The sequence below is a fragment of the Homo sapiens genome, chromosome 14 (genome assembly GCF_000001405.40).
Source record: "Homo sapiens chromosome 14, GRCh38.p14 Primary Assembly".
Lineage (NCBI taxonomy): Eukaryota > Metazoa > Chordata > Mammalia > Primates > Hominidae > Homo > Homo sapiens.
Genome location: NC_000014.9, coordinates 21,087,949 through 21,113,221, shown reverse-complemented (window position 1 = coordinate 21,113,221; position 25,273 = coordinate 21,087,949). Strand labels below are relative to the sequence as shown.

The window sequence follows — 25,273 nt, the reverse complement described above, 5'->3', positions numbered from 1 at the left end:
ACCTCAATAGAGGCCAGAGAGTGGTGACATTTGAGGACCAGTTCCAAGAAGAGAGAAATATTTTGAAACTTCAGTGAGAAATGGCTGGTAAAGAAAATGTCAACAGACTCATGAGAAGCAAAAATAATACAATGGTGGTAAAAATTGTATTCCTTTAAAACCTTCTAATGAACTGACCAATTCAACTATAGTAATTGTCACACATAAATTTGAGGATAATAATCAAACCCTGAAGTTGTTACCAACTGAAGATGACCCCCAATGTCAACATATGACATTAATGTAAGACATTTCACCCTAACAATAATAGTAAACAGAAACAAATTGTTGCAGAAAAACAAAAGCAAGAGGCTGACACACCCAAGAAGTCTGTGATAGAATCTTATTGAGGCCAAATTGTTCAGTCTAAGTTTAATTCATTTAGAAAACCTCTACAAGTCAAAGATGAGAGTTCTGCAGCAACAAAGAAATTTTCAATTACTATTCCTAAAGCAACAGAGCCTCAGCTTATAAACACCAGCAGCGTAACAGTGAAGAGTAATAGAGTCTCAAATATAACTGCTACTGTTACCACACAATGGGTGAGCTGGTCGCTTGGCCAGTGACAGTCCAATGACCACAACCAAGGAAAATTTAACAAGGGGATTTCATTACTTGCAACAAAGAAGGAGAATACTGGGGATAATTCCCAAAGCAGTTCCTCTCGGAATAAAGCTAAAAACAGGGCTTGTATTGGGCTGCTTAGCTGAGTCATCGTATGTAGAGGTGGAGTACAGTCATCAATCATGCTTCTTCATATATCACATGTATAGAAAGTGGCAAAAATACTCCTCCTTGGGTGGAACTTTTTGTATGGTAATGTGGGGAGTTTGCCAAATTCATCTCCAATTCAGAGGGCATCTCTGGATCGAATGGGTTTTGTTTTGCTTCTTCCTGGAACTTTTTGAAACAACAAAAACTCAAGGTGCAACAGTGTGTACTTGTTCACAGTGTGTGCAAGGACCCTGGGTTACACTAAATGTAACTTGGGGTACACCAAATGTAGTGCTAAGTTTGTGTGATCTCTTATTAGAAGTCATCCAATAATACCCAGGACACTGTGAAAGAAGGCATCGGTAGAATCTCAGCCTTGTTTACAATCAGGAAAAGGTCTCATAGAAAAGAATTATTACAATCAAAAACAGTTTTATCTAGGGTCAAAACCAGTTCCTCTCAGGACATAGAAAAGAGATAAGGCACAATCAAGAAGATTGTGCATCTGATCTTTTGGACAAGTGGTTGCCAAAATAAAGAAAGTTTTAAAAAGGAAAAAAGAAAAAGGAAAATAGCATGTGAAATCGTAGCCAGGCCTGCTTCATCTTACTGTTTTAAAAAATTATTTTTTAAGCCAGGCACGGTGGCTCACACCTATAATCCAAGCACTTTGGGAGGCCGAGGTGGGCGGATCATCTGAGGTCAGGAGTTCGGGACCAGCTTGGCCAACATGACGAAACCCCATCTCTACTAAAAATACAAAAATTAGCCAGGCATGGTGTCAGGAGCCTGAAATCCCAGCTACTTGGGAAGCTGAGGCAGGAGAATTGCTTAAATCTGGGAGGCGGAAGTTGCCGTGAGCTGAGATTGCGCCATTGCACTCCAGACTGGGCAACAAGAGTGAAACTCCATCTCAAAAAAAAAACAACAACTATTTTTTTACAGACAGGGTCTCATTATATTGGCCGGGCTGGTCTTGAACTCCTGGTCTCAAGGGATCCTCCTACCTCAGCCTCCCAAAGTCCTGGGATTACAGGTGTGAGCCACCGCTCCCACTTGTGCTTCATCTTCTAATGCCAAACTGATAGAAAAATCAAAACCTATTGACCAGTGAAGATATACTATAGCAAAACCAACTGCTGATAGTAGATCAACTCAATCCAAAGAAAACTCAGAAGAGAGAAAAGCTCATCTGAATGAGTGGAAAGCTGGCAAAGAAAGAGTGCTGAAAAGGCCTCCTAACTGAATAGTTACCTAGTATGAACCTTAAGAACAAAATGAAAAACCAGTTGGGTCCTTTTGGACTACCATGGCAGAAGATGAACAAAAATTATTTACTGAAAAGGTAAGCGACACATTTTCTGAATGCCTAAACCTAATTAATGAAGGACGCGCAGAAGAAGAAATACTGGTCACACTGAACGATCTGATTAAAAATATTCCAGATGCCAAAAATCTTGTAAAATATTGAATATGTCTTGCACATACTGAACCAACCCCAAGTCCTATTGAAAGTATTCTCGCAATCTATGAGAAGGCCATTCTGGCAGGGGCTCAACCTATTGAAGAGATGTGACACACAGTTGTAGATATTCTACCAATAAAGAGTTAAGAAAATGTCAGTTTTGGAGAAAATATTGAGGAGGCTTGTGCAACCAAGGAACAAGTCCAAGAAGTCAACACTGAAGATACAACTGTTAATTCAGAGTCAGGAAGACCAGAAATGGGGAATAGACATCATATTTTTTGTATGCTTCCACAGGCACTGAAGAGAACAGACATCATGGAAACGTGCTATTTCAAGATTCTGAAAAATAGCAAGATGACAAAACAAAAGATCCAACCAATGATGTTAAAATCCCCAATACAGAAACTAGGGCAAGTTGCTTAATTAAATATAATGTATTTACTATGACATACTTGCAAAGTGTAAAAAAGAAGGTGCAATTTGATTAAACAAATTATACATTTAAAGAGCTCAAGTTTTAAATACCAGTGAGATGTTCTCAATGTCAGCGTAAAACTTTAAAATTGCCAGGTATGTTAAAAGACCATTATCCCTGCGTGTCTTCATTGGAAGAGTTAACAGAGTTGGGAAGTGACACTGATCCCTTTGTATGCTGTCCTAATGCAGCACTATGCTGAATGTACTCTGAGACTGAAATAACAGATGAAATAGAAAGCTCTGGTAAGGAAAAAAAAAATATCAATGCCACCTCCCTCAAACTGCTATCACCAAATCATGAAGTGCAAGAGAGGGGACATGGGAGATGACGCCGAAGAGTGGGCAGGAGCCAAATCACAGAAGTCCATGCACCATTTTAAAATGCTTGGACTTAAGCTTGTGGGCAATGGGGAGGACCGAAAAGCATTTAAGCAGAGAAGCAACATGATTTAACTGCCAAGGAGATAGGAAGAAATGCTCAAACCTGCCTCTCTGAGCTGGGGGTTGGGTTGGATTTTATAAGCGTAGGGTAATGAGGTGTGATCTGATTGCATTTTGCAATGACATGATGCCAGGAGGCATGATATGACTGGATCCTGCCATGGGGTGATGCCAGAGCTCATCTGATTGGATTCTAGATCCTGCTATGCGGTGTCTGCTTCTCAATTCAGTCCTCCCCACCCTTCTTGGTCTGAGTACTCAGGTTTCCCCTGTGGTAGAACATGTGTTCATCTGGGCATGCTCAGGTTACAGGACTTTCAACCTGGGGTCCATGGCAACCGAGAAATAACTTACAACTTTGCTACATAAAAGTTGAACCAGATTGGCCTGATGTGGTTACAATAATACAACACAGAAAATTCAGAAAAATGGGGTGGGGGGCAAAAGCTAGGGCAGGAATTCAGATTTTGGATGTGCTGTTTGGTTATGGTAGATCTTCGCAGGTCTTTTTAAATACAAAGATCTTGAGAAATTAGACATTAAGTTCTTAAAACCTTTCTTATCATATCCTTCTAAGGCATTGTTTTTCAGAGAAAGAAGTAATTTTGCTTCCCAGGAGACATCTGGCAATGTGTAGAGATATTTTTGGTTGTCACAACTGGAGGGAGGGGTGCTACCGACATCAAGTAGGTAGGGCCCAAGGTTGCTGCTTAGCATTCTACAATGCACCAGTCTTCCATAAAAAAGAATTACCTGGCCCAAATATCAATGGTGCCAAGATGGATACATTCAGTTCTAGGGACTAGAGGAATACCAGCATCTTATTTTACAATTTTGTCCAGGGCGAGACATTGGAGAGTATGGATGGGTCAATTAAAAAACATCATCACGGCTGAAAAGCCAATGTAATCTGAGTGTTGGCAGAGAAATTAAAAGTCATCTAATTCAACCACTCAGCTGATATTTGAATATTTGCTTCAATAACCTGTCATTGCATGAGAAAGCTTATTGCACAAAACAGCTCTAACATATCCACAGGCTGAGAGCCCAACTTGAAAGCATTTCATCTTTTGAAAGGTGTTCAGTTTCTATTTTTCAGTCTAAAATTGGCCTCTCTATAACAAGTAACCACTGGACCCAGTTTCACTTCTTAGTTACGCAAAGAACAATTTCTTTTCATCATAATTATCTTTGAGGCTTATAAAAGCATAAATTCTCTTTCTCCTGTGCTATGACTTTAGCTTTACATAAAGAATAAGAGTGGGCCGGGCGCGGTGGTTCATGCCTATAATTCCAGCACTTTGGGAGGCTTGGTTGGGTGGATTGCTTGAGCTCAGGAGTTGGAGACCAGCCTGGGCAACATGGTGAAACCTCTTCTCTACAAAAAATACAAAAATTAACCAGATGTAGTGGCATACATCTGTAGTCCCAGCTACTTGGGAGGCTGAACTGGGAAGACGGCTTGAGCCCAGGACGCGGAGGTTGTGAGCCAAGGTCGCGCTACTGCACTCCAGCCTGGGGCAACAGAGCCAGACCCTCTCTCCAAAAAGGAATAAGAGCGAGCACATAGCATTTTCTTTATATATAAAGAGAGCATATAACGAGGCAAAGCAAATAAAATTATATTTTAGTAGTTTGGACTTGGGTAAAAACAAGAAAACTTTATGGATGGCAAGGGAAAACTGTCAAGAATCAACAAAGAAAATTCATTAACTCTGGACAGAAATTAGGAAAAGCTTCTGATAAGAAAAATAAACCAAAGATTCAGATGCTAAGTGGAACCAAGAAAAGTAGGCAACACAAAATATAAATGAAATAAGTCAGAAAAAAAAATAGGCAAACAAGGAAAAACATAAAAGAAACAGAAGATGATAGTAAATGGCACCTGAATTTTAAGGAGAAGCCAGCCTAGTAGCAATTTACCTGTAAGTATGGCTGTCTCTGGCCTGAGGCCGTAGGAAATTATATGAGCAGGCCTTTCCTTCTGAATTATTATAATGGGGACATCAGGTTAAAGCAAACACCAAAAGCAGTCTTCTTCTTCTTCCACCTCCTCCTCCTTTCCTTTCTCCTTCCCCTCCTCCTCTCTTCCTCCTCCTTTTTTTTTGAGAAGGCTGGGATTAGGGGTTATGGGAGCTGGGTGGAGTCAGGAGAGGGGGCTAACAACTAGGGGAAAGTTGTATGAATTTGTTAGCAATGGGAAGATTTTAACTATATAGGTATATATATAGTTATATATATATACATATGTGTGTGTGTGTGTGTGTGTGTGTATACACACATGTTATCACAATGAAAAAAATAGCAACTAAAAACATTTTCCTGCCTTCCCTCCTGTGCTCACTGCTTAGTCACCAGCAGCAGCAGCCCAGGTCAGGGCAGTATCTCACATTCCCAGTTCCCTGGAGATGGACCTCTGATCACTGTAGTACATAGATCCTGTCATATTTATAGGAAACACAGTGACTCAGTGAGAACACCACTGCCACTGTCCCGCCAGCCCATTAATCAAATGTCAAATTTGAGGCAGCACTGGCTGGGCCCGCCAGGATGAAGGGTGTGGACGCAGAGCAACACACCCTTCTGTTTTCTTGTCTAGACCCATTTTGTGTGGGCCTAGAATCCAGAAACCTGTTGGGAGACTCTTCATTTCTTACTGAAATTAAGAGCATCCCAGTCCCAGGTGGCAAGGGGCAAGAGACTGCATTCTTCAGGCCAGGCAGGCGCGGTCAGCTTCAATTACCCCTGGGTAGTTGGGTTCACTGAATTTGGTGGCTCCTGGCCAGGACTGCATAACAGACACAGAGGCCCAAGGGTTTGCAGAAGACCAGGAGGGGCCCTCCGCCTCCTGCCTCATTGTGAGGCCCAGGTTTCCAGCCAGGCCGAGTGTGCTGCTGCCCTCAGGGGCCCATTGCAGAGGAGGAACTTGGGGAGCGCCCCACACCATGGAGAGGAGAGTCTTTCCCCAACTAAGCCACTGCCAAATGCCATTACCTTAGGAAAGGCACTTTGTGAGACCTCAACCTGGGCAGCCAAGAGGCCACGAGATGGCAGCAGAGGACACAGCCCTGGACACAAAACCTGAGCCATCTTGCCAAAAGGCAGATTCAGAAACGGAAAAGAGTTCATTTGTGAAATACTGTCAGTTGTCTATGATCACGTATTAAAAGCCAGAATAAATGACAGAATTTCAAAGAAATGAGGGTAAAATGTATTCACATGGAGAATTTCCCGACCACCAATGTGCCACAGCTGCATATGAAGCCACATATCATGAACTGGATTTCTTTAATGTTTAAAAGAATAGATAGGGGTCACGGCCTTTAAAAACTGACGTCAGCAGAAACCTTGTCAGTTTCTTCTTTCAGTGAAGTTCCCATTCAAGTAAAATGAGTGACCTCCACAGAGGCTGCCAAACTGATGAAGAAAGAGGCAGATACAGTGGTTGCTGGGAATCACTGCAGCAAAGCAGAACGCTGTCATGGAGCAGCCCGGGACTGTGGCAATAGGCAGTGTGGAGGGGGAATAATGAGGAACACAGGACAAGTCTCCAATAGTCTTTGCTTGCAGCTGGCAGAGGATAATGCACAGGAAAGCGGCATTAGCAGCACTGGAACTAAATCCCAAATCTGACTTCTCATCTACTGCGCCTTCCATTGTTACATATTCCCTCCTCCCCCACTCCTCAGTTGTGACTAACAAATATGTCTCCAGACCTTGCAAAATATCCTCTGGGGAACGAAATGACCTTTCTCTGAGAACCAATGCCCTAGAGGGATATGATGAAAAAGGTTTTATCAGAAAGGTTTTAAGAATTTAATATTTAATCGAAGACTCTTGGACTTTGCAAGGTCTACATGAACTGTAACATATATCCAAAACCTGAATTCCTACTATGTTTATCTAATGCAGACTGATGATTGAAGAACTATAGCTGAACTGGCTCTTGAGTTTTAAGAAATTATCATTTAAACTACTTCTTACCTCTACAGGCAATTTATTTTTAACCCCTGAAGTGGTTTATAGTTTTAAAGTACTTTTCCTTGTGTGATTTTATTTTAGCCTTGATACTCCAGTAAGGTAGACAGAATAAATATTACCATAACCTCCAAGTGCACAAAATGTAGTTCAGAGAGGTTTGACTTGCCCAAGCAACAAAATTAGAATCTAGGTTTCCTGAGTCCCAGTCCTATTATTTTTTTGAGGAAAAATTTCTAGTAAGAACTTAGGGGTTCATGAAACCAAACCAAAGAAGTAGGTATGGGCATAACTGCTGGAACAGATAAATTTCAACTGCTAAGCTGTTCAAAAATCATCACAAATTATTAATTCCATTTCTTTTTTTCTTTTTGAGACAGAGTCTCGCTTTGTCTCCCAGGCTGGAGTGCAGTGGTGCGATCTTGGCTCACTGCAACCTCTGCCTCCTGGGTTCAAGCAATTCTCCTGCCTCAAACTCCCGAGTAGCTGGGATTACGGGCACCCACCACCATGCCGGCCTAATTTTTGCATTTTTAATAGACACGGCCACCATGTTGGTCAAGCTGGTCTCGAACTCCTGACCTCAGGTGATCCACCCGTCTTGGTCTCCCAAAGTGCTGGGATTACAGGCCTGAACCACCGAGCCCGCCCAACTATGTTTCTTTTAATGAAGTATTTCTGCTTCCCCTCTCCTTGCAGGCATTGCCCTTCTGGCCTTCCTTAAGTTGGGTGTGGCTATATGACTTGCTTTGGCCATTGAATGGGTGGAAGTGACATGAATGTATCACTTCAGGGCAGCATTTAAGAGTCCATGAACAATTCTTCATGCTTACTTCACATTCTGAGGCGGGGGGCGCGGGGCGGGTAACCTTAACCTTCATAGGGACAGGGTAGGATCTCAAAATGGTGGCGCTCCATGAGCTTGGGAGGAAACATTTGCAATGAACAGAATCCCTTGCCAGCCTACTTTGGACACGTAGTATGAGAAATAAACCTTTGTGGTCTTAAGCCACTGTGATTTGGCATTTACCACAGCAGAGCCTAGCTTAATCTGACTGATAGAGGTTAATTTCCATGGTCATCAAGCTTCTCTGGAACTAGAATGCAATATCTAATCTGATCACATCACTAAAACCTGGAAAACAGAACAAATTGTTAATTTTCTTCCCTCAGCTTCCTCATCTACCACCACCTTCTGACTTTCAAGAAAAATATTGTTTCATCGGCCCTGCAGACATGAGCTCTCCATTATTCTGGCAATTAGACTGGGGGAGAGGAAGAAATGCAGAAGGCCTAGATCTTTTCTCCATTCCAGAGCCTGATCCCAGAACTGTCCCCACCCACTAGTACTCACACTTAACCTTGTCATAGGAAGATTATTACCACTCTTCCAAGGTGTCACAAACAGAAAAGAGCTGCAGCGGACGCCACTGCAATGTCAAGGCAAGGCAGCCAGGCTGCGCTCTATCCTCACTGGTGCCTGGCCCTGGCTAGGCCGGGAGAAGCAGCATTCTCTAGGGAAAGAAGCCTTCTCAAGTGGGAACAAAAATGAGTGTGAGGCGAACAGCCATCCCGGGCACTATGTGAATTTGGGGTGAGTTCTCTTGGTACTCCAGCTGTGGTCAATTTCTAGTTTCTAGCGGCCAGCAAGCTGCCCAGCTGCTGCTGCTAGTGGGACTCCCAGTTCTCCCGGGCTTTTCCCAAGCCCAAGCGAGCCTGTTATCTTTGCACACTTGCAAAGGTCGTAAACGGTGGGGGTGAACGCAGCCAGAACTTCAGCAACCCGACCGCAGCCGAGATCAAAGGTCGGCGGGTCAGCCCAGAGGCCAAGCCTGCGCAGTCCCGCTCCCGCGTTGGAGATAAAGGGTGGCGGCAGCGCAGGCTCGTTACACCGGCGTGCTCGCAAGAGGCGGGAAAGCGTTAGGGAGAGACGCGGGTCGCAGGGTCCCTCCCTCTGCCTGCCCTATCTACCCGCCTGCCCAGCGAGCCTGTCCATCTTCAGCGCCCAGGCCCTAGGGGAGGGGACGAGAAAGGCCCCGCGCTTCTGACTCATCATCTCCAACCCCTTTCTCGCGCGCGCTCCAAGTCTCAGGACTTCGGACCTGGGCCCTCCTGCGAGGGGGTGCGGCGACAGCATCTGGGAAGCCCCAGCTCTGCCAAGCGTCAGCTCCGAGCCCTCGCCAGTCTCTGAAGCTGCCAGCGCAGGGCTGGGGACCCAGATCCAGCTCTCTATTGCAGTGGCTGGGGGAGCGGCACGCCAGTGCAGGACCGCCCGCCCGGCTCCTCCCCGAACGCGGGGCCAGTGGTCGCGTCCGAGAAAGCGCCAGGCTAGGCCCCGACTTCCCCGCCTCGCGTCACTCAGCACATCCAACAGCGCCCCTACCGCGGAGAGAAGGCTCTTTATTTCCTAGCCGGTCACGGGCTAGCGGGGCATCCTGGGACTTGTAGTCTCCGCTACAGTAGAAAGGAGATGGATCGAAAGGGGAACTGGGGCACTCCTGAATTGGATTCAGGGAGTTGGCGTGTGCAGGGTCCGGGATTTGGAGTGGATGGGATTATGAAAGGTGGACAGAAAAGAAAAGTGCGATGAGGCAAATGTGAAGCTGTATGGGGAGGTGACAGGAAGAGAGGATATGGATGCAAGGGAGAAAGCAGCTTTTCAGGGTGGTGAGGTGAGGATATATTCTCGTCCAGGTGTATCTTCCCCTAACAGGGAAGGAACGAAAAAAGGGCCTGCTTTGAGTGAAAACTGAAGGCACTCCCGGACTTCCTATTGGACTCGAAGGATCCCAGCAAGCTTCTGAGTTTGGTGGGGTGGGATGCAGGAATGTCTGGAGAGCATTCTCTCAGGGTGGAAGGAGAGCAGCACGTGTCTGTTCCCGCTGTCCCACCCTCTCATTTGCTCCTGTGCTGGCCACCGTGGGACCATTCTCCAAACCAGGAACCTCTTCCAACTCAGAGAAGCCCTGAAAACCAGAGACAGGTGTGAGCAAATTGTAGAGGTGAGAAAGGAGAAACCCCAGACAGAAACAACTGCTTCCTCCTGCCCAATTTTCTATCCTGTTTCCCATAGTCCTGCCAATATTTAGGCAGCTTCCTAATGCTTTCCCACTCTTTTAACCTCAATCATTTGGATTCCCAGTTTCCTCTTACCCACCATTAGGGGAGAAATGTTCAAAGCCAGAGAAAGCCAATCAGTTTCATTCTAGGACCTCTTCTTTTCTCTCCTGCCCCATTATTTTCCCTTAAGTGCCACTGACCAGGATAGGCAGTGGAAAAATTAGTTGGCAGCTAGCTATTCGTGCTTTCTTCCCTGCCCCCATACCTCCTGCAGCTCTTGATAGTGCAGACTCTGGCTCCTGCAGCATCCTGGTTTCCTCTGGCTCAGCAAGAATAGGGCGTGCACTGAGACCAGCACTCCCCCTAGGGTGAAGGCCTCAGCACTGAGTTCCAGCACCAGCAAGCCAGCATGCTGCAGGTAGACAGGGCTGAGAATGCAGGGACCCCGCACCTGTTTGCCCCTGCCCTTTTCCCTTCCCACCTCCTCTTGCCTCCTTATCCTCCCACCTTCTCCTTCATTGACCAGTACCTGGGAGGAGGCAGTTGGGGCAGGCCCCAAGGCTGTCTTCATCACCTCGACCACCACCACTATGAAACCCAAGATCAAGTTGAAGGTGTTGAATATCATCATGGCCCGCACCTGCCAGTGAGCCAGCTCAGCCCTGCCCAGCCTAGGGGAGTCATTCCAACCTCAATCCCCACTTGCAGCCTAGCTGAAGACAAAACTCAGCTTCTGCTTCTCAGCCTCCAAACAGGGCCATAAGCCCTCTTAACTTTTTTGCTTTCCTCCTCAGTGATTGAGGCCAGTCAGTGGTGACAGCTGAGAGAATGAGTCAACACTTAGCCACTTACTTCCTAGGCTGAGGGTTGTAGGTGTCTGTTTTAGGGAGTGGGAGGACAGTGCTGCGTTTTCTTCCCTCTCACCTTCCAAAGGCGGGGTGCTCTGCGAAGCTCCAGAGTGACAGTCCCAGTGAGGAGACCCTGAATGGTGAGAAGGGCAAGTGTTGAGCTCTGGTCCCGTTAGGAAGGGGCCCTGGGACCTTCCACCCTCCCTTGTGGTGGGTCTTACTGAGGCTCCAGGCCCAAGAGGCAGCGCTGTGGCCATGTGACAATCAGAGTTCAGGCAGGCGACTGAGACAGCAAGGGGCACCACAACCACTGCCAGCCATAGCTGGCTCACCTGGGGGTAAGGGTAGGGTAATTGGGGAGGAACTGTCAGGGATTCCCTCCCTTCTCGTAACTCCTACCTCTTTAGAGATCAGGAAATGGGATTGAATGCAGGGTGGAGGAAAGCAGTCAACCCAGAGCAAGGACGTGATCATTAAAAATTAAGTATCATTTAATTTTTTCTGCCTCATATTGTAGTTTAGTTACTTACCTGTATGTTTTCCCCCACAAGATGGAAGCTACTTGGGAGATTAAGGGTCTTGCCTTGTTTATTTCTATGTTTTCCTCTACCCTCCTCCCATTCAGAACCTAGCTCAGTTTCTGGCACATGGTAGGTGCTCACTTAACATGGATGGATGGATGGATGGAATTGAATTGGGTAGAAGTGGACATGCTGAGACCTGGGATGGGGTAGCCTGGCCTCACCGCTAGCACCAAGAGGTGCCCACTCTGCCTGTGCCTTGCCCAGTGTTGTAGCTTTTCCAGACGAAGGCTGTGTCTCTCCTGCTCTTGCTCACCAGCTCTATCTTCCATGGCTCCTTTGCCCACAAGAATTAGGTGCTTCCTAGGCTGGGAAAAATGCGTTATAGGTTCTGTCTATTAGGAGACAGGACATGCAACAACGTATCTTTCAGCTACACCTCTGCCCACTCCCAATATCCAGGGATTTGAGGTCCAGGTCCTCACACCTACCTAGTCTGAAGCAGCTACTCCAAAGGGATGGGACCCAGCTGGGTCCTAGGTCTCCTAAGGGGCTTGATAGCTCAGAGCAGACGACAAACTTGTCCTGGCAGAGGAAGGCTGTCAGGGATGGGGTGTGGTGGGGCAAAGGTTTCTATGAAGGCCTAAGGATCTAGGGAGTGGCCCTGGGTAGATACCGGCCTCAGTTCACTCCACAAGATGTCTAGCCCGACCTCACTCTGTTCCCATTTCTCATTACCCTCATTTCTGCCCATCCTGGGTTCCTTTTCTGGTTTCACTTACCTCATCCCCATGGACACTATCACTCTGGACCTCAATTCCCCCTCATTTCCATATGATCTTACTCCTTTCTTTGGCTTCCTCCTCAAATTATGTGCCCTTCCCTAGAGATCCTACTTTCTGTCTGGATTGGTCCCCTGTCATTACTACTTGCAGCTTTGCCCCCAGACCAGGTAAGGTTGAATTCCAGGGGCTTTCTTGCCTCTCACTTTCTGGACAGTCTCCCTTCCTTCTTTCTTGAAGGTTTTACTCTGAACTGAACACTGACTCAATGGATGGGGGGGACCCTGTTTATGGTGGGGATTGTTTTTGATTCAATGATAACCTGCAACTGGACATTATCTATCTATCTATCTATCTATCTCATGGTCCTCAAATAGTGAGTCTTGGGAAGGATGCTATTGCAACAATTAATATTTTTGAGAGAGAAGGTGCCTCATAGCCAGACAGACCTGAGCTGGAATCTTAGCTCTGCTGCTTCTCCATCTGTGTGATCTTGGATACATTATTATTATTATTATTATTATATTATTGAGACAGGGGCTCACTGTCACCCAGGCTGGAGTGCAGTGGCATGATCATGGCTCACTGTAGCCAACACCTTCTGGGCACAAATAATCATCCTGCCTCAGTCTCCCAAGTAGCTGGGATCACAGGCACATGCCACCATGCCTGGCTAATTTTTAAATTTTTTGTAGAGACAGGGTCGTCTCACAATGTTGCCTAAGCTGGTCTCAAACTCCTGGGCTCAAGCCATCCTCCCTGCTTGGCCTCCCAAACTGCTGGGATTACAGGTGTGGGCCACTGTGTCTGTCCTGATAGATATGTTTTTCTACCTATTCGCACCTCAGTTTATTCACTGATAAAAGGGGGCTAACAATATGACTGTGAAGAGTTGTTGATTCAGGGTGGGTGTTTAATAACTATTAGTGGTGCTGATGAGGTCACACCGATAAGTCTGATGCCCATACACTAAAAGTGTTATTCAGAAGGAAGCTGGGGACACATTTCTACAGTCGGAAGCAGAACCAGCTGGGCCCAAATATACTCTATAGATCAAAACAAATCCCAGATCTACCTAGGTGCCCTTGGCAAGTTGCTTAATCTCTCTGTTCCCTTATCTATAAAAGGAAGTTAATAATACCAGTCTCAAGGGGTTGCTTTCAGCATGGAAGAGAGCTTAGCCCAGTACCTGGTACACAAGTGCTCAATGTTAGTGGCTATGATCATCATCACTATTATTATTTCTTGTTGTTGACGATAAGAGGAGACTGCGCCAGAAGACTCTAGAAGTTAGTACGAGGAGGGAGGCAGGGTCCTGGGAGGCAAGTGATCTTTTGTAAGCCACTCCTGCCCCATCAGTGCTGTGCCAACATCGGCGGGTCATTGTATCTACTCTTTTCTTTCCCGGGGAGTGGGAGTCACGTTTTAAAGAGATCCAGAAAACTGCTGTGTGTCTACTCCTCCTCAATTCCCACGTGCATTGATTTTATTTGGTGGCGATGTGAGATGTTGGGCTTGCACTGAGGATCCCCGAGCCTGCAGGCCACTGGGGAAACAGACTTCCTGAAGCCTCATTTTTCTTACTTGTAAATGGGGGCTAATTTAATTATAGAGGGTTATTGGAAAGATTATATACTATTAGATAGGTGAACAGGCATTCAGTAAATATTGACTAAATCTGAGTATACTACTTACCAGTTTGTAGTCTAGACTACAATCGCCTGGAAGGAAGGTACCACTTCTTTCTCATCCCTCACAGCGCTGAGCCCAGTGCCTGGCACTTAGTAAGCACTCAGTAAATATTTGTTGTATTGAAGAGCCATTAAAGTGACTTGAGGAATGGAAAATAGAATTCGAGAGGAAGGCGCAGGAATTGTTTATCAAGAACGGAAAGGACCGAAGAGTAACTTTAATAATGTTTCTTATACGGCCGACATTAACTATCTCTATAATCGCCCCTCCTCCTCCCCCAAAAGAGAGACAGAAATTGTAAGGGAGAGGCTTTGAGATAAAACCCCAGGAAGAACTTCCCGAGTCTGTGCATGTTGGGGCAGAAAGAGCGGCAGAGCCAACTCCTTCCCTGGTATGTCCGGGTTTAGGGAGGGAGGGGCAGTGCTGCTTGGAGGCTGGGGGAAGGACGAGATGACCTTTCAAAATCTCTTCCAGTCTCCTGTTGGAATCCTCTGTGCGCCCCACCCCCGCTCCCTCCCTTCCTCCCTCCCTCCGACAGCGCCCCCCGTCTCCAAACCGCCCGCACCCCGCCCCTGGCGGCCGCCTCTCGCGGCTCCCGGGGTCCCCAGCTCCCTGTCCCCGGAGCCAGAGCCCGGCTCCCGCGCGGCTCCCAGCCCCGCCGCGCCGCCCCCCGCATGCTAATGGCCGGGCCGCCTCCCGCCGCACACAATGCGGGCCAGGGCCGGGGGCGGGGGACCGGGGAGGGGGCGGGGGCCGGGCCGGGGGCGGGGGGGCCGGGGCCCGGCGCATCTCCCCCGGCCCCACGTAACGCTGACGCCCGCGCCGCCGGCCCGCCGCCCGCCGCCGCCGCCGCCGCCGCCGCCCGCTCCGCCGCCGCCCGCCCGGGGCTCGTGAGTAGCCGCTCCCCCGACTCCCGGGCCCCCCCGTCCGCCACCCGGCCCCCGCCCCCGGCCCCCTCCCCCCTCCCGGAGGGGGGGCCCGCTCAGCGCGCCCGGCTCGGAGCAGGTGCAGGGGGCGGGGGCGGGGGAGGGGCGCCGGCTCGGCCCCAAGCAAACTTCGCCCAGAGCTCCTGGGGGGGCGGGGTGGGGGTGGCGGCCTCGGAAGCCTGGAGAGCTGGGGGGCCCCAAGGGAGGGGGGGCCAGGTGGAAGAGCTGGGGGAGCAGACACCAAAGGGAAGGGCCAACGGGGGGGATGTGGCGGGGGAGGTGGCGGGTGTCTTTGTAGGGGCCCGAAGGCAGGGCGCGAGGGACCTGGGGGTGAGGGGCGGCAGAGCCGCGAGCCTGAGTGGATGTGCACCCCCCAACCCCCGGCCCAGGTAGGGCTGGTGGGGGAGGGGGAAGGAGCCCAAACTCTCTGGAAGCACGGGGTGGCGGGGGAGGGGAAAGGATGGGGGGTGCTTCCCTCTTTGCGTCCCAAACAAAGTGTCACAAAGAGCTCGGCCCGCGGCAGCAGCGGAGGCGGCTGTAACTCAGCTTTTGTTCTCCTGGCCGGGGGTAGCTGAGCCTTGGCCTCCCTATCTCCCAACCCTGCCCCCCATCATCCTTCTGGCTTATCTTCCTGGGGAGGGGTCTGGGGTGCTGCTGGAAAAACCTCTCCGGCAGGATAGCAGGTCCTACCCTACTTAGCAATCTATTTCTGGGAGGGGGATTTTCCCAGAGGCTCCCTTGATCGCCCCTACCTCCCAGTCTGAGGACCGAGGCTCACGTGGGTGCTAAGACTGACTTTTCTAGGGTCAGCTCCACTTAAAGGGACTTAGGGCTGGCTACATGCCCCTCTTTCCCAAACCCAGGTCTTCCAGAACTTTCAAAATCAAAATCGGGGTTGCGTTAGGACATGCCTCTGGGATAAGATTCCCCATGGTGGGATGGCAGCAGGTGAGCAGGTGTGCCTTCCTCTCGCCTCCTGCTGTACCTTTGAAGTCCATGGCTGAGGTTCCATGTCCCTAACTCAGGAGAGTGAGGACAGAGGGAAGGAGGCTTTACCAAGATCTCAGTCTAAAAAGGCTGGTGAGCTGCAGAGTGGAGCGGGTTAGGAGGAGCTATCTGAGCAGTGAGGTTCAGAGGGCCATGGAGAGGAGACCATAAAAGTGAACTACTGGTGTGTCTGTGTGATCAAGGTAGTCTTTTGAACGTAGACCGCCCTAGAAGCTCCCTTTCCTTTTAACCCCATCTAGTGCAGTGGTAATCATAATTGTTAGCAGATTTGGGAGGTCTAGGATTCTCAAGAGGGAAAACCATCGTGTTAGAGGTGACCAGAGGCAGTTACAACTGGACCCCAGAAGTCCTGAACCCTTGCTCCTTACACTTTGACCCTAAAAACTTTTGAATCACAAGACTTGAGGGACAGTCTTTGTGGTCCATTTAGCAAATACTTCTATGTACCTGTCCTTGTTGTTTCTAAGTCTTTTCACCAACCATTCCATCCTTCTCTACTGAGTAAGGTTTAGTGGTCCACACCCACTTCCCTACCAGCTGCCCCAGCATGTAAGGATAATTGGCCTACTGCTTTTGAAAGGTTTCTGATATCTATCCCTGGCCCCGCATCCTTATAGAATCCAAATAAGGGCAAGATAACCCCTGATTCCCAGTGGGGGTGGAAAGTAGGTCAGTGCTGCTGTCTGGCCAAGTCTCGAGGATGGTGTTTAAGGCCTGACTATAGAAAACTCTGTGATTATTGTCCAGGGGCAATATATGCATGACCTCGGTTCCAAGGCAGTTCATAGTATCCCAGTCCCTGTCAGTTCTTTCCCCTACTGAGAAAAAAATCATGGGATCAGGTGTCTGGAACCTGGTTTGATATGGAGATGATTCAGATCTTCATTGGGCCTAAGAAGGTATCTCAGTGAGTTTTGTTGATTTTAGGCCACCTTCTGGGGAAACTTTCCGTGCTGGGGAATTCAGCTTCAGTTTGGGCCTTCTTGTATATCACTCTATTTCTGTTCTGGAAACTGCTATGTGCAAAGTGGTTTATTGTTGTTTTGTTTTGGGATAGGAAGCTTTGCCCTTTTCTGACTCTTCTTGCCTCAGATATGAGGCCAGCTTCCTAAGAGATTTTGCTTGCTATCCTACAGACAGTTTTAGGGGCCCTAGAATCTTCTCAGAATGAGAGTATGTGCCCATAGGTTAGTCAGCTATGACCATGCAGTATTCCCAGCCCCCCCGCCCCACGCCTCCACCATCTGCTTCCTCTGAATATACCAGATTGGCTGTACACCAGGATGTTCCGGGAATCCCCAGGAGAGCAACAGAATGTGATGGACCCAAATATGATGCCTCAGTAACTCATTCCAGGATGTACAAACTGTAACTGTCAGGATGCTCCTTATAGCTAATTAAAATTCTTCTAGTTACATCTATTTTCTATTAGCTCTTTCTATTTTCAGTGACATCTAAAAGGCCAAAATAATCCCTCTGGTACCACTGGGTTTTTTTCTATGGTTTTCAGATAGGAACGAAAAAAAAATGCTCTAGCTTTTCTGTGTTGTATCTGCGATGCTAAAATGGCAAACAGCCCCTCTAGCACCTCATAGCTCTATCTATGGTACTGAGGTGGCCCAAGTGGCTTCTGTGGTAGCCCACTGCACTCTCCATGGTACTGAAGGGATGACCATTTGTTTTAACATCTCTCTGGGGTCCAAAAGAGTCCTGTGACTTAGAATCACAAACTTTTTTCGAGCAGGAAGGGACTAACACTATAAATTAGTCCAATCCCCTTATTTTACTGATGAGTAAACTGGGAGGTTAAGTGATTTAGTAAAGGTTGTAGGGTTATCAATGTTCAGACTAGGCCTACAATAGCCTTGTACCCTTCAGTCCTATTCTAATTCACCTTTTGTGACACTATTCAGTAAGCCTGGCTAGGCTCTTAGTCCCAGGAAAGGATCCAGAGGATGAGAGTGGGTGCCCTAATTTGAAGCTACAGAAATACACATATTAAGTGGTAGTGGAGGTCGTCTAGTGACCCTTGGACAAGGACACTTTGTTAATTAATCATCTGCTAATAATAATCCTATAGCCCAGATTCCACATGTAACAGGTACCTGCCCCTTCATGGAGTTTTACCACATCCACTAAATGTCAAAAATTAAAGAAGCCTTGGACCTCCAGAGCCTTTTCTCTCTGCTGACAGGCAGGTTGACTCCTGGCACAGTTCTTTTCTATTAAAGATCCTTAGGCAAAGTAATGCTTGCATCTTTTTCTTTCTCAGTAACCCATTTCAGTTTTGTGATGCCTATTGTAAGGAAGTTCTTTATATCTCAAATATCCTTTCTTAGACAAAAAAAAAAAAAAAAAAAGGTTAGACCCACATTCATTTAGCCTTGACCAGATACTATTCTATATGAGGCAGAAAGGTAGACTAGATGACTTCTGGTCATCCTCCCAGGTCTGTTTCCATGAATCTTGATTCTGGGGTTTCTTCTAAGTCCTCATGCTAAACTCCTCTGCAGCTTAGGATCAGCACCCGCCCCCCCCCCCAACCCCTATCCTCTTCCTCTCAATGATCTTCTCCTTCCCCAGCACTGGAGCTCTGCAAGTCCCAGGCCTAGGGAATTTTAGCCTGGAGAATTTTAACCCTTTCCTGCTCAGAGCATGTGCTGAGTCCCTATCTGTGCAGATGGCCCAGCCCCGCCCCCCGTCCCTCACTCCAGCCTCTTGAGCTCAGAGCCAGTGTAATCCTCCTCTTGTGTGAGGGAGCCTCTCCCCTGCAGAGAGGAGGAAAGCCTGCCTCGGAACAGCCCTGGACAAAGGGGCTCAGATGCCCCATCATACTGCAGGCTCCAAGGTTTGAAACAAGGGGATGAATCCTATACGGTATTTGCAGTTTTTAGCCCCTTCCCCAGGCTAGCTGTGCCCCTTAACTTCCACTCCTCCCCCAACTCTCTCTTCATTCCCTCTCCCTCTGGCTCCCTCCCCCTTCATGCCCCTCCCCCTCTGTCTGTCTTCAGACTCTGCTGCTGGGAGGTGTTTCTCTCCCATGCATGAATGAGTCTCTGTAATGAATGGAAATGAATGGATCAGGAATCCAGGCGGAGGGAGGGAGAATGAGGGGGGAAAGACAGAAAGACAGGGTAAGGGCAGAAGGAAGCACTGTGGAACCTGGAAGGATGTTTGGCTGGCTGCTCAGTTAGGGATCTCAGAGCAACTGGTCCCACTTGGATAAATGGGGAGCATGGCAAGCCCACCTCATTTGCTCACCACACTGCATAGCCCAACCTACATGGGAGAGGGGCATATTGTGATGGTCTTCCCCACCGCCAGGGGGTGGGGTGGTAGCTGTGGTTGTTCTGGACCATGCATTTAAAATATAGAATTTGGGGAAGAAATCTGGATTATCTGGGAGGCTTGTAGGCTTGGCAAGTCAAGAGGTACAGTTTTTGAGTATAGCAGCCCCTTCGTGCCTCAAGAAGCAAGTAGGGAGAATGGATTGGTTTTGGGAATACAGAATGCTGAGAGTCTGGGGGTAGGGAGTGACTTTACTGCTGAAAACTAGGGCTCATCTTTTCCTCCAAATCTGTCTCTTGCTTTAGCTCCACAGCACCTGTTGCCTTCATTAGCAGCTTTTCCTCCTCTTCCCTGCACTTCCCAGAACCAAAGAATGTGAAGGGGGTCCATGGAGGTGAGTGAAGCTCTGGCTTCAACCTACAAGTACCTACAACTGTATACTCCCTCTCCTGCCTACCTCTCTCTCTCTTTGACCTCCCATTATTAGAAGTTAACTCCTTGGCCCTGACATCTCGATTCCCATACACCTCCCCCCACCCCATCTTCCCGAGGTGAGTAGCACCCTGTGTTCCTAGTTCAGGCCCCAGCCCACCTTCCCTCGTGTTGTCCTTCTGGCCCTCGAGGCGACGCCCTTGCTTCCTTTACAGCTCTACCTTCACCCTTTGCTCTACGCAGATCTTTCTCCACAGGGCTCACGTCCCCGCGCCCCGAGCGGCCACTTAGCGCCGTCGCCGCCGGCTTTCGACGGCGAGCTGGATCTGCAGCGATACTCCAACGGGCCAGCCGTGAGCGCAGGGTCGCTCGGGATGGGAGCGGTGAGCTGGTCTGAGAGTCGTGCAGGCGAACGGCGCTTCCCCTGCCCTGTATGCGGGAAGCGCTTCCGCTTCAACTCTATCCTTGCTTTGCACCTGCGGGCGCACCCAGGAGCCCAGGCCTTCCAGTGCCCTCACTGCGGCCACCGCGCGGCGCAGCGGGCTCTGCTGCGCTCGCACCTGCGCACACACCAGCCCGAGCGCCCACGTAGTCCTGCTGCACGCCTGTTGCTGGAGTTGGAAGAGCGCGCGCTACTACGCGAGGCCCGACTGGGGAGAGCCCGAAGCTCAGGGGGCATGCAGGCCACCCCTGCCACTGAGGGTCTGGCGCGGCCCCAGGCTCCTTCATCGTCCGCCTTCCGTTGCCCCTACTGCAAAGGCAAGTTTCGCACCTCGGCGGAGCGCGAACGCCACCTGCACATCCTGCATAGGCCCTGGAAGTGCGGCCTGTGCAGTTTCGGCTCCAGCCAGGAGGAGGAGCTGCTGCACCACAGCCTGACGGCCCACGGGGCTCCCGAGCGTCCCCTGGCGGCCACCTCCGCTGCGCCTCCGCCTCAGCCTCAGCCTCAGCCTCCACCCCAGCCCGAACCCAGATCAGTCCCCCAGCCGGAGCCGGAGCCGGAGCCCGAACGTGAGGCAACCCCGACCCCAGCTCCTGCCGCTCCCGAGGAGCCCCCAGCGCCTCCGGAGTTCCGCTGCCAAGTGTGCGGCCAGAGCTTTACACAGTCTTGGTTTCTCAAGGGCCACATGCGTAAGCACAAGGCCTCCTTCGATCATGCGTGTCCGGTGTGCGGCCGCTGCTTCAAGGAGCCCTGGTTCCTTAAGAACCACATGAAGGTGCACGCCAGCAAGCTGGGCCCACTGCGTGCCCCGGGGCCTGCCTCCGGGCCTGCCCGCGCCCCCCAGCCTCCTGACCTCGGCCTGCTGGCCTATGAGCCGTTGGGCCCAGCGCTCCTCTTGGCCCCGGCTCCCACCCCGGCCGAGCGCCGTGAGCCCCCGAGCCTCTTGGGCTACCTGAGCCTGCGAGCTGGCGAGGGCCGGCCCAACGGCGAGGGTGCTGAGCCCGGTCCCGGCCGCAGCTTCGGAGGCTTCCGCCCGCTGTCCTCTGCTCTCCCGGCCCGGGCTCGCCGGCACCGTGCGGAGGAGCCTGAGGAAGAAGAGGAGGTGGTGGAGGCCGAGGAGGAAACCTGGGCCCGGGGCAGGTCGCTGGGCTCTCTGGCTTCCCTGCACCCGCGCCCGGGTGAGGGACCGGGGCACTCTGCCTCTGCTGCTGGGGCCCAGGCAAGATCGACCGCCACGCAGGGTATGTAGGTACCCTCCGCTCTCCGGGTACGCCGCGTCCTCCTCTGACTCTTACGCCGCCACTCCCTCGTAGCTTCCTTGTTAAAAGAACTTACGTTTAATTTCTCCTGAGTTTTTTTGTTTTGTTTTGTTTTGTTTTCCTGGAGGCTTTGCCATCATTTGAGAACACTTAACTCTTTAGTCACAACAAATCTAACCCCTCAGACTTTGTTTCCTCCTGGACCCCGAGGGGAAGCAGCCCTATGGGATGGGTGTGGGGTGGGTGCGCGGCACCTGGACAGGGTGTGGGCCCCCCTGACTTCCTCTTAACGTATGTGTTGCAGAAGAGAATGGGCTGTTGGTTGGAGGGACCCGGCCTGAAGGGGGCCGGGGCGCCACCGGCAAGGATTGTCCTTTCTGCGGAAAATCTTTCCGCTCAGCACATCACCTCAAAGTGCATCTGCGAGTGCACACAGGTGAGGGAGGCAGCCTCCGGCGTGGAGAGGGGACTGGGGGCGGGCAGAAAGGTGAGGGCTACCGAAACACTAGGAGGTGAAGTTTGTTCCGAAGCCTTCAGTTTGGCTGGATGAGATCACTTGGGAAACGCTCCTTTATTAAATCAAAGTGGGTGGGAGACGCAGTGCCCTTTCTTGGTTCTGAGAATGAGGTCTGTAAATTGGGCGAAATTCGGGTGGGTGCGTGCAGTCATCGTGACCCCGTGACCCTATCGCACCCACTCTCCCCAGGCGAGCGGCCCTACAAGTGTCCGCACTGCGACTACGCGGGCACCCAGTCCGGCTCGCTCAAGTATCACCTACAGCGCCACCACCGGGAGCAGAGGAGCGGGGCCGGCCCCGGGCCACCCCCGGAGCCACCGCCTCCTTCCCAGCGGGGTTCGGCCCCGCAATCTGGAGCCAAGCCGTCTCCGCAGCCTGCGACCTGGGTGGAGGGCGCCTCAAGTCCCCGGCCTCCTTCTAGCGGTGCTGGGCCGGGGTCCCGTCGGAAGCCCGCCAGCCCTGGGAGGACCCTGCGCAACGGGCGAGGCGGTGAGGCCGAACCCCTGGACCTGTCCTTGCGGGCAGGGCCGGGAGGCGAGGCCGGGCCTGGGGGTGCCCTCCACCGCTGCCTCTTCTGCCCGTTCGCCACTGGAGCCCCAGAGCTCATGGCCTTGCACCTTCAAGTGCACCACAGCCGCCGGGCTAGGGGCCGCCGGCCACCCCAGGCTGACGCGTCCCCGCCCTATGCCCGAGTACCATCAGGAGAGACCCCTCCCAGTCCTTCGCAGGAAGGGGAGGAGGGCTCCGGGCTGTCCAGACCCGGAGAGGCAGGGCTGGGGGGGCAAGAACGGTAGTGGGCCCTCAGGGGCGATTAGCTTAGTGAGCTTACCCCGCCGGAGCGGGGGAGCGCTAGAGGTAGTTGGGTAGAGAAGCCAGCAGGGGGCAGCGTGGGACCCATATCCCAGCCCCAGGCGGACCAGAGGTGGAAGGCGCGGCGGGCGTAGGAGGGTGGGCTGGCGGTACCCACCCAGCCCAAGGGAGTCACAGTGCCTTAGAAGTGGCAGAGGTGAGGGTCAAAGAACGGGGTCCCTGGGCTGGCAGAGAAGGTTTGTGTCCCTGTTGAGGAGCCACTCTGCCAGTCTTTGCTGGTCCATAGGCGTGAGAGTTTATTTTTGTACAAGGGGTGAGGGTGGGGGGCACTGTACCCTTCTAGCCCCATCAGGGGCCCTGTAGACGTCGCTATTTTTGGTACGATTCCTGTCATCCCTATTGCAGAGTCGTGTCCCCAATAAACAGGTGTCTTGAGGCACAGGGCCCTGTGTCTGTCTGCCTACCTATGTCCTGCTTCCCTCTTTGGGTCCTTCTGTCAGGAAATAGTCACCTCTTCAGACACTTAGTTATCACCCAAAGAGTTTGATAAGAAATGCAGAATATTGGGTTTTACCCCCAGGTTTCGATGCAGTAGCTCTGATGGGGCCCAAGAATTAGCATTTAACAAACAGCCAAGCAAGTTCTCACGCACTGTGGCCTGAGGACCTCATTTTGAGAACTGCTGGACTGTGCTGGATCCCAGTTTGTCTGTGACCAGTTCAGCCTCAAGGAGTAGGTGCAGTGTGGGAGAAGGAGCTTCAGAGAGTGTGTGGAACCTCTGGGAGCCACTGTGGAGGAGACACATTCTCCCAGGCTCATACACAGTCAGCTAGCTCTGGGCCTGGGAGGGGTAGAGGGGACCTTCCAGTCTTGGTTTTATTTTCTGTGTTCTAGTTAAGGGCTGGTTGAGGGAAAGTGCTCAAGTTATTTATCACCTTAATCCAGAGGACTACTCTAGCTCCTTAGAGGCAAAGTGTGAGTAAATACATTTAATATAACAATAGTATTATAATAACAGTAATTACATATATAAAGTCTACGGTTCCCCTGTCACACCCTCCTATTGTTTGCATAGCTTCATTGCTTGTGACACCTCAGAATGGAGTCACCAGGGACTCCAGTTGACCTGGCAGAGATGATTCTTCTCAGGGAAAGTCAGGGGGTGAGAAAAGAGGAGAACATGGGCTGCCAGGGAGGGCTGGCATGGGAGTGATGTCCTGGATACAGTGGCCCAGGATGGGAAAGCACCGGAAGAGGGATAACTTCCCCACCTCCAGGGTATGAAGGCAAGCAATGTGGCTGCTCTGACTCCTGCAGGAGAAGGCACCAAGCTAGGGAGACTAGAGATAGTGGTGGCAGGGCAATACTCTGGTCGTTAGACCTCCTCTGTGTCCAGGAAGCAGAGGGAAGAAATTCAGCGATCGCCCAGGGCTCCATTATGCCCCACTGCCATCCCAGCCCAAAGTGTGCTGAGAGGAGAAGCTGCACGCAAGTTCTGGATCTTCTCTAGAAGCCAGGAGAGAAGAGGGAGATGAGTTGGGAGAGGGAAGAAGCTGACTCCCAAGTAGCCGGGGACAGGAAGGAAGGTACATGCAAGATGGTAGGAGTGCTGGATGTGGTAGAAATTGGGGATGCTGACTCACCCAGGTCACAGAGGCGTGGTGGGGTCACTCAGGGCTCGAGCATGACTCTGGGGGGAGAGAAGCTACAGTGAATTTAGGGACATATTTCTTGTCTTTCTCTCTCTTTTCCTCCATTCCTCCCCACAAGCCTGTCAATTCACCTCTCTTTCCTACCCAAAATCCTTGAATTTTGCTATTTACTTTTATTTTTTTAGAGACAGGTGCTCACTGTTGCCCAGGTTGGAGTGCAGTGGCACAAACATGGCTCACTGAAGTCTCAACCTCCTGGGCTCAAGAGATCCTCCTGCTTCAGCCTCTCGAGTAGCTGGGACTATAGGTGCGCACCCCTCAAAAGTCCGGCTAATTTAATTTTTTTTTTTTTGTAGAGATGGAGTCTCACTATGTTGCCCAGGCTGGTCTTGAATTCCTGGGCTCAAGTGATCCTCCCACCTCAGCCTCTGAAAGTCTGGGATTACAGGTATGAGCCACCTTACCTGGCCTGAGTTTTGCCATTTTAACCCAAGTCCAAGCCAGGCCATTGGCATTCTCCCCTTTCCATCCACCCCAGCACTATACTCCTTATTTAAGATTCCTTTTAACCTATGACCTTGATGCCTCTTAGCCAGGTCCCGGGGAGAGGAGAAAGGTAGACAAGATAATAAATCCAGACTGTAGCCTCAGCTGGGAGCACAAGTTCACAGTTTTCCCCCAACCCCCCTGGGGTTGAATGATCAGAAAAGCCCATCCAGAAAGCAGCCAAAGAGATCACATTGTTCCCAGCCTCGTTGTAGGAACTTACCTGTCGGGATAGCCCTAAGATCCCTCGACTGGCCAGGGTGGGAGTGCTGCTCCCAGGGTGGGGGGGTTGCAGGCTGGGGCTGTTTCTTGGTCCTGGGGACACATCTCCAGAAGAGTCAAGTGTTTCTGGGGCTGAAGGGGAAGCTAGGGT

At 50.5% G+C, this 25,273-nt stretch overlaps 3 protein-coding genes and 1 pseudogene across 22 annotated transcripts in view, besides 7 other annotated features; 2 read left to right on the top strand and 2 right to left on the bottom strand.

Moving 5' to 3' along the window:
* On the top strand, positions 8-2,310 carry CKAP2P1 (cytoskeleton associated protein 2 pseudogene 1; annotated as a pseudogene).
* ZNF219 (zinc finger protein 219) lies at positions 8,500-23,145 on the top strand. Of its 3 annotated transcripts, none has more exons than NM_001102454.2 (5): positions 8,500-8,711; positions 19,548-19,636; positions 19,932-21,357; positions 21,680-21,811; positions 22,082-23,145. In NM_001102454.2, exons 2-5 carry the CDS (start codon positions 19,631-19,633, stop codon positions 22,684-22,686), a joined length of 2,169 nt encoding a protein of 722 aa, NP_001095924.1. In that variant the 5' UTR covers positions 8,500-8,711; positions 19,548-19,630; the 3' UTR covers positions 22,687-23,145. The 3 variants fall into 3 exon arrangements, with proteins under 3 accessions (NP_001095924.1, NP_001095142.1, NP_057507.2); NM_001101672.2 differs by lacking the exon at positions 8,500-8,711 and adding an exon at positions 14,361-14,411; NM_016423.3 differs by lacking the exon at positions 8,500-8,711 and adding an exon at positions 14,567-14,910.
* Positions 9,181-9,925: an enhancer, noted in NCBI's record as "NANOG-H3K27ac-H3K4me1 hESC enhancer chr14:21571456-21572200 (GRCh37/hg19 assembly coordinates)". NCBI's record gives its function as "activates a minimal SCP1, AML or CMV promoter by ChIP-STARR-seq in primed H9 embryonic stem cells {active_cell/tissue: H9 hESC(primed)}" and the evidence as "EXISTENCE:reporter gene assay evidence [ECO:0000049][PMID:30033119]".
* On the bottom strand, positions 9,498-14,386 carry TMEM253 (transmembrane protein 253). Of its 12 annotated transcripts, none has more exons than NM_001146683.2 (8): positions 14,024-14,386; positions 12,038-12,145; positions 11,771-11,914; positions 11,247-11,357; positions 11,102-11,158; positions 10,707-10,817; positions 10,443-10,589; positions 9,498-10,083 (listed from the first exon to the last, which is right to left on the bottom strand). In NM_001146683.2, the coding sequence occupies exons 3-8, from the start codon at positions 11,876-11,878 to the stop codon at positions 9,964-9,966; spliced, it is 654 nt and encodes a 217-aa protein (NP_001140155.1). In that variant the 5' UTR covers positions 11,879-11,914; positions 12,038-12,145; positions 14,024-14,386; the 3' UTR covers positions 9,498-9,963. The 12 variants fall into 12 exon arrangements, 11 of the variants coding, with proteins under 11 accessions (NP_001140155.1, XP_011535380.1, XP_011535381.1 ...); XM_011537078.3 differs by having other exon boundaries at positions 12,038-12,131; XM_011537079.3 differs by having other exon boundaries at positions 11,771-11,909; positions 12,038-12,131.
* Positions 14,385-14,885: an enhancer, noted in NCBI's record as "H3K27ac hESC enhancer chr14:21566496-21566996 (GRCh37/hg19 assembly coordinates)". NCBI's record gives its function as "activates a minimal SCP1, AML or CMV promoter by ChIP-STARR-seq in primed H9 embryonic stem cells {active_cell/tissue: H9 hESC(primed)}" and the evidence as "EXISTENCE:reporter gene assay evidence [ECO:0000049][PMID:30033119]".
* Positions 15,645-16,146: an enhancer, noted in NCBI's record as "H3K27ac hESC enhancer chr14:21565235-21565736 (GRCh37/hg19 assembly coordinates)". NCBI's record gives its function as "activates a minimal SCP1, AML or CMV promoter by ChIP-STARR-seq in primed H9 embryonic stem cells {active_cell/tissue: H9 hESC(primed)}" and the evidence as "EXISTENCE:reporter gene assay evidence [ECO:0000049][PMID:30033119]".
* Positions 19,998-20,292: a silencer, noted in NCBI's record as "tiled region #8150; HepG2 Repressive non-DNase unmatched - State 25:Art, and K562 Repressive non-DNase unmatched - State 7:EnhWF". NCBI's record gives its function as "represses a minimal TATA promoter and a strong SV40 promoter by Sharpr-MPRA in HepG2 and K562 cells {active_cell/tissue: HepG2 | K562}" and the evidence as "EXISTENCE:reporter gene assay evidence [ECO:0000049][PMID:27701403]".
* Positions 20,439-20,648: a silencer, noted in NCBI's record as "silent region_5581". NCBI's record gives its function as "represses an Ori minimal core promoter by ATAC-STARR-seq in GM12878 lymphoblastoid cells {active_cell/tissue: GM12878}" and the evidence as "EXISTENCE:reporter gene assay evidence [ECO:0000049][PMID:35858748]".
* Positions 21,253-22,097: an enhancer, noted in NCBI's record as "H3K27ac-H3K4me1 hESC enhancer chr14:21559284-21560128 (GRCh37/hg19 assembly coordinates)". NCBI's record gives its function as "activates a minimal SCP1, AML or CMV promoter by ChIP-STARR-seq in naive H9 embryonic stem cells {active_cell/tissue: H9 hESC(naive)}" and the evidence as "EXISTENCE:reporter gene assay evidence [ECO:0000049][PMID:30033119]".
* Positions 22,098-22,943: an enhancer, noted in NCBI's record as "H3K27ac-H3K4me1 hESC enhancer chr14:21558438-21559283 (GRCh37/hg19 assembly coordinates)". NCBI's record gives its function as "activates a minimal SCP1, AML or CMV promoter by ChIP-STARR-seq in primed H9 embryonic stem cells {active_cell/tissue: H9 hESC(primed)}" and the evidence as "EXISTENCE:reporter gene assay evidence [ECO:0000049][PMID:30033119]".
* ARHGEF40 (Rho guanine nucleotide exchange factor 40) overlaps positions 22,974-25,273 on the bottom strand; it is a 28,985-nt gene continuing 26,685 nt past the window's right edge. For 4 of the 7 annotated variants that reach the window (NM_001278529.2, NM_018071.5, XM_005267844.4 and 1 more), the window contains 3 exons: positions 25,124-25,254; positions 24,346-24,392; positions 22,974-24,208 (listed from right to left, as the gene is read on the bottom strand). In NM_001278529.2, the coding sequence (NP_001265458.1) occupies positions 24,351-24,392; positions 25,124-25,254 (173 nt within the window). In that variant the 3' untranslated portion in view covers positions 22,974-24,208; positions 24,346-24,350. Of the gene's footprint in view, positions 24,209-24,345; positions 24,393-25,123; positions 25,267-25,273 lie in introns of all 7 variants that reach the window. The other 3 variants (XM_017021434.3, XM_011536937.4, XM_047431564.1) reach the window with 1 other exon arrangement.

Bases quoted from the DNA above. Each gene is read 5' to 3' on its own strand.
- TMEM253 (NM_001146683.2), bottom strand. From the start codon at position 11,878: ATGGAAGATAGAGCTGGTGAGCAAGAGCAGGAGAGACACAGCCTTCGT. The intron at 10,818-11,101 runs GTGAGAGGGAAG...GCTCACTGGCAG, and splicing joins GAGCACCCCGCCTTTGGAAG to GTGCGGGCCATGATGATATT. The intron at 10,590-10,706 runs GTACTGGTCAAT...GTCTACCTGCAG, and splicing joins CCCCAACTGCCTCCTCCCAG to CATGCTGGCTTGCTGGTGCT.
- ZNF219 (NM_001102454.2), top strand. The intron at 21,358-21,679 runs GTATGTAGGTAC...TATGTGTTGCAG, and splicing joins AAGATCGACCGCCACGCAGG to AAGAGAATGGGCTGTTGGTT. The intron at 21,812-22,081 runs GTGAGGGAGGCA...CACTCTCCCCAG, and splicing joins GCATCTGCGAGTGCACACAG to GCGAGCGGCCCTACAAGTGT.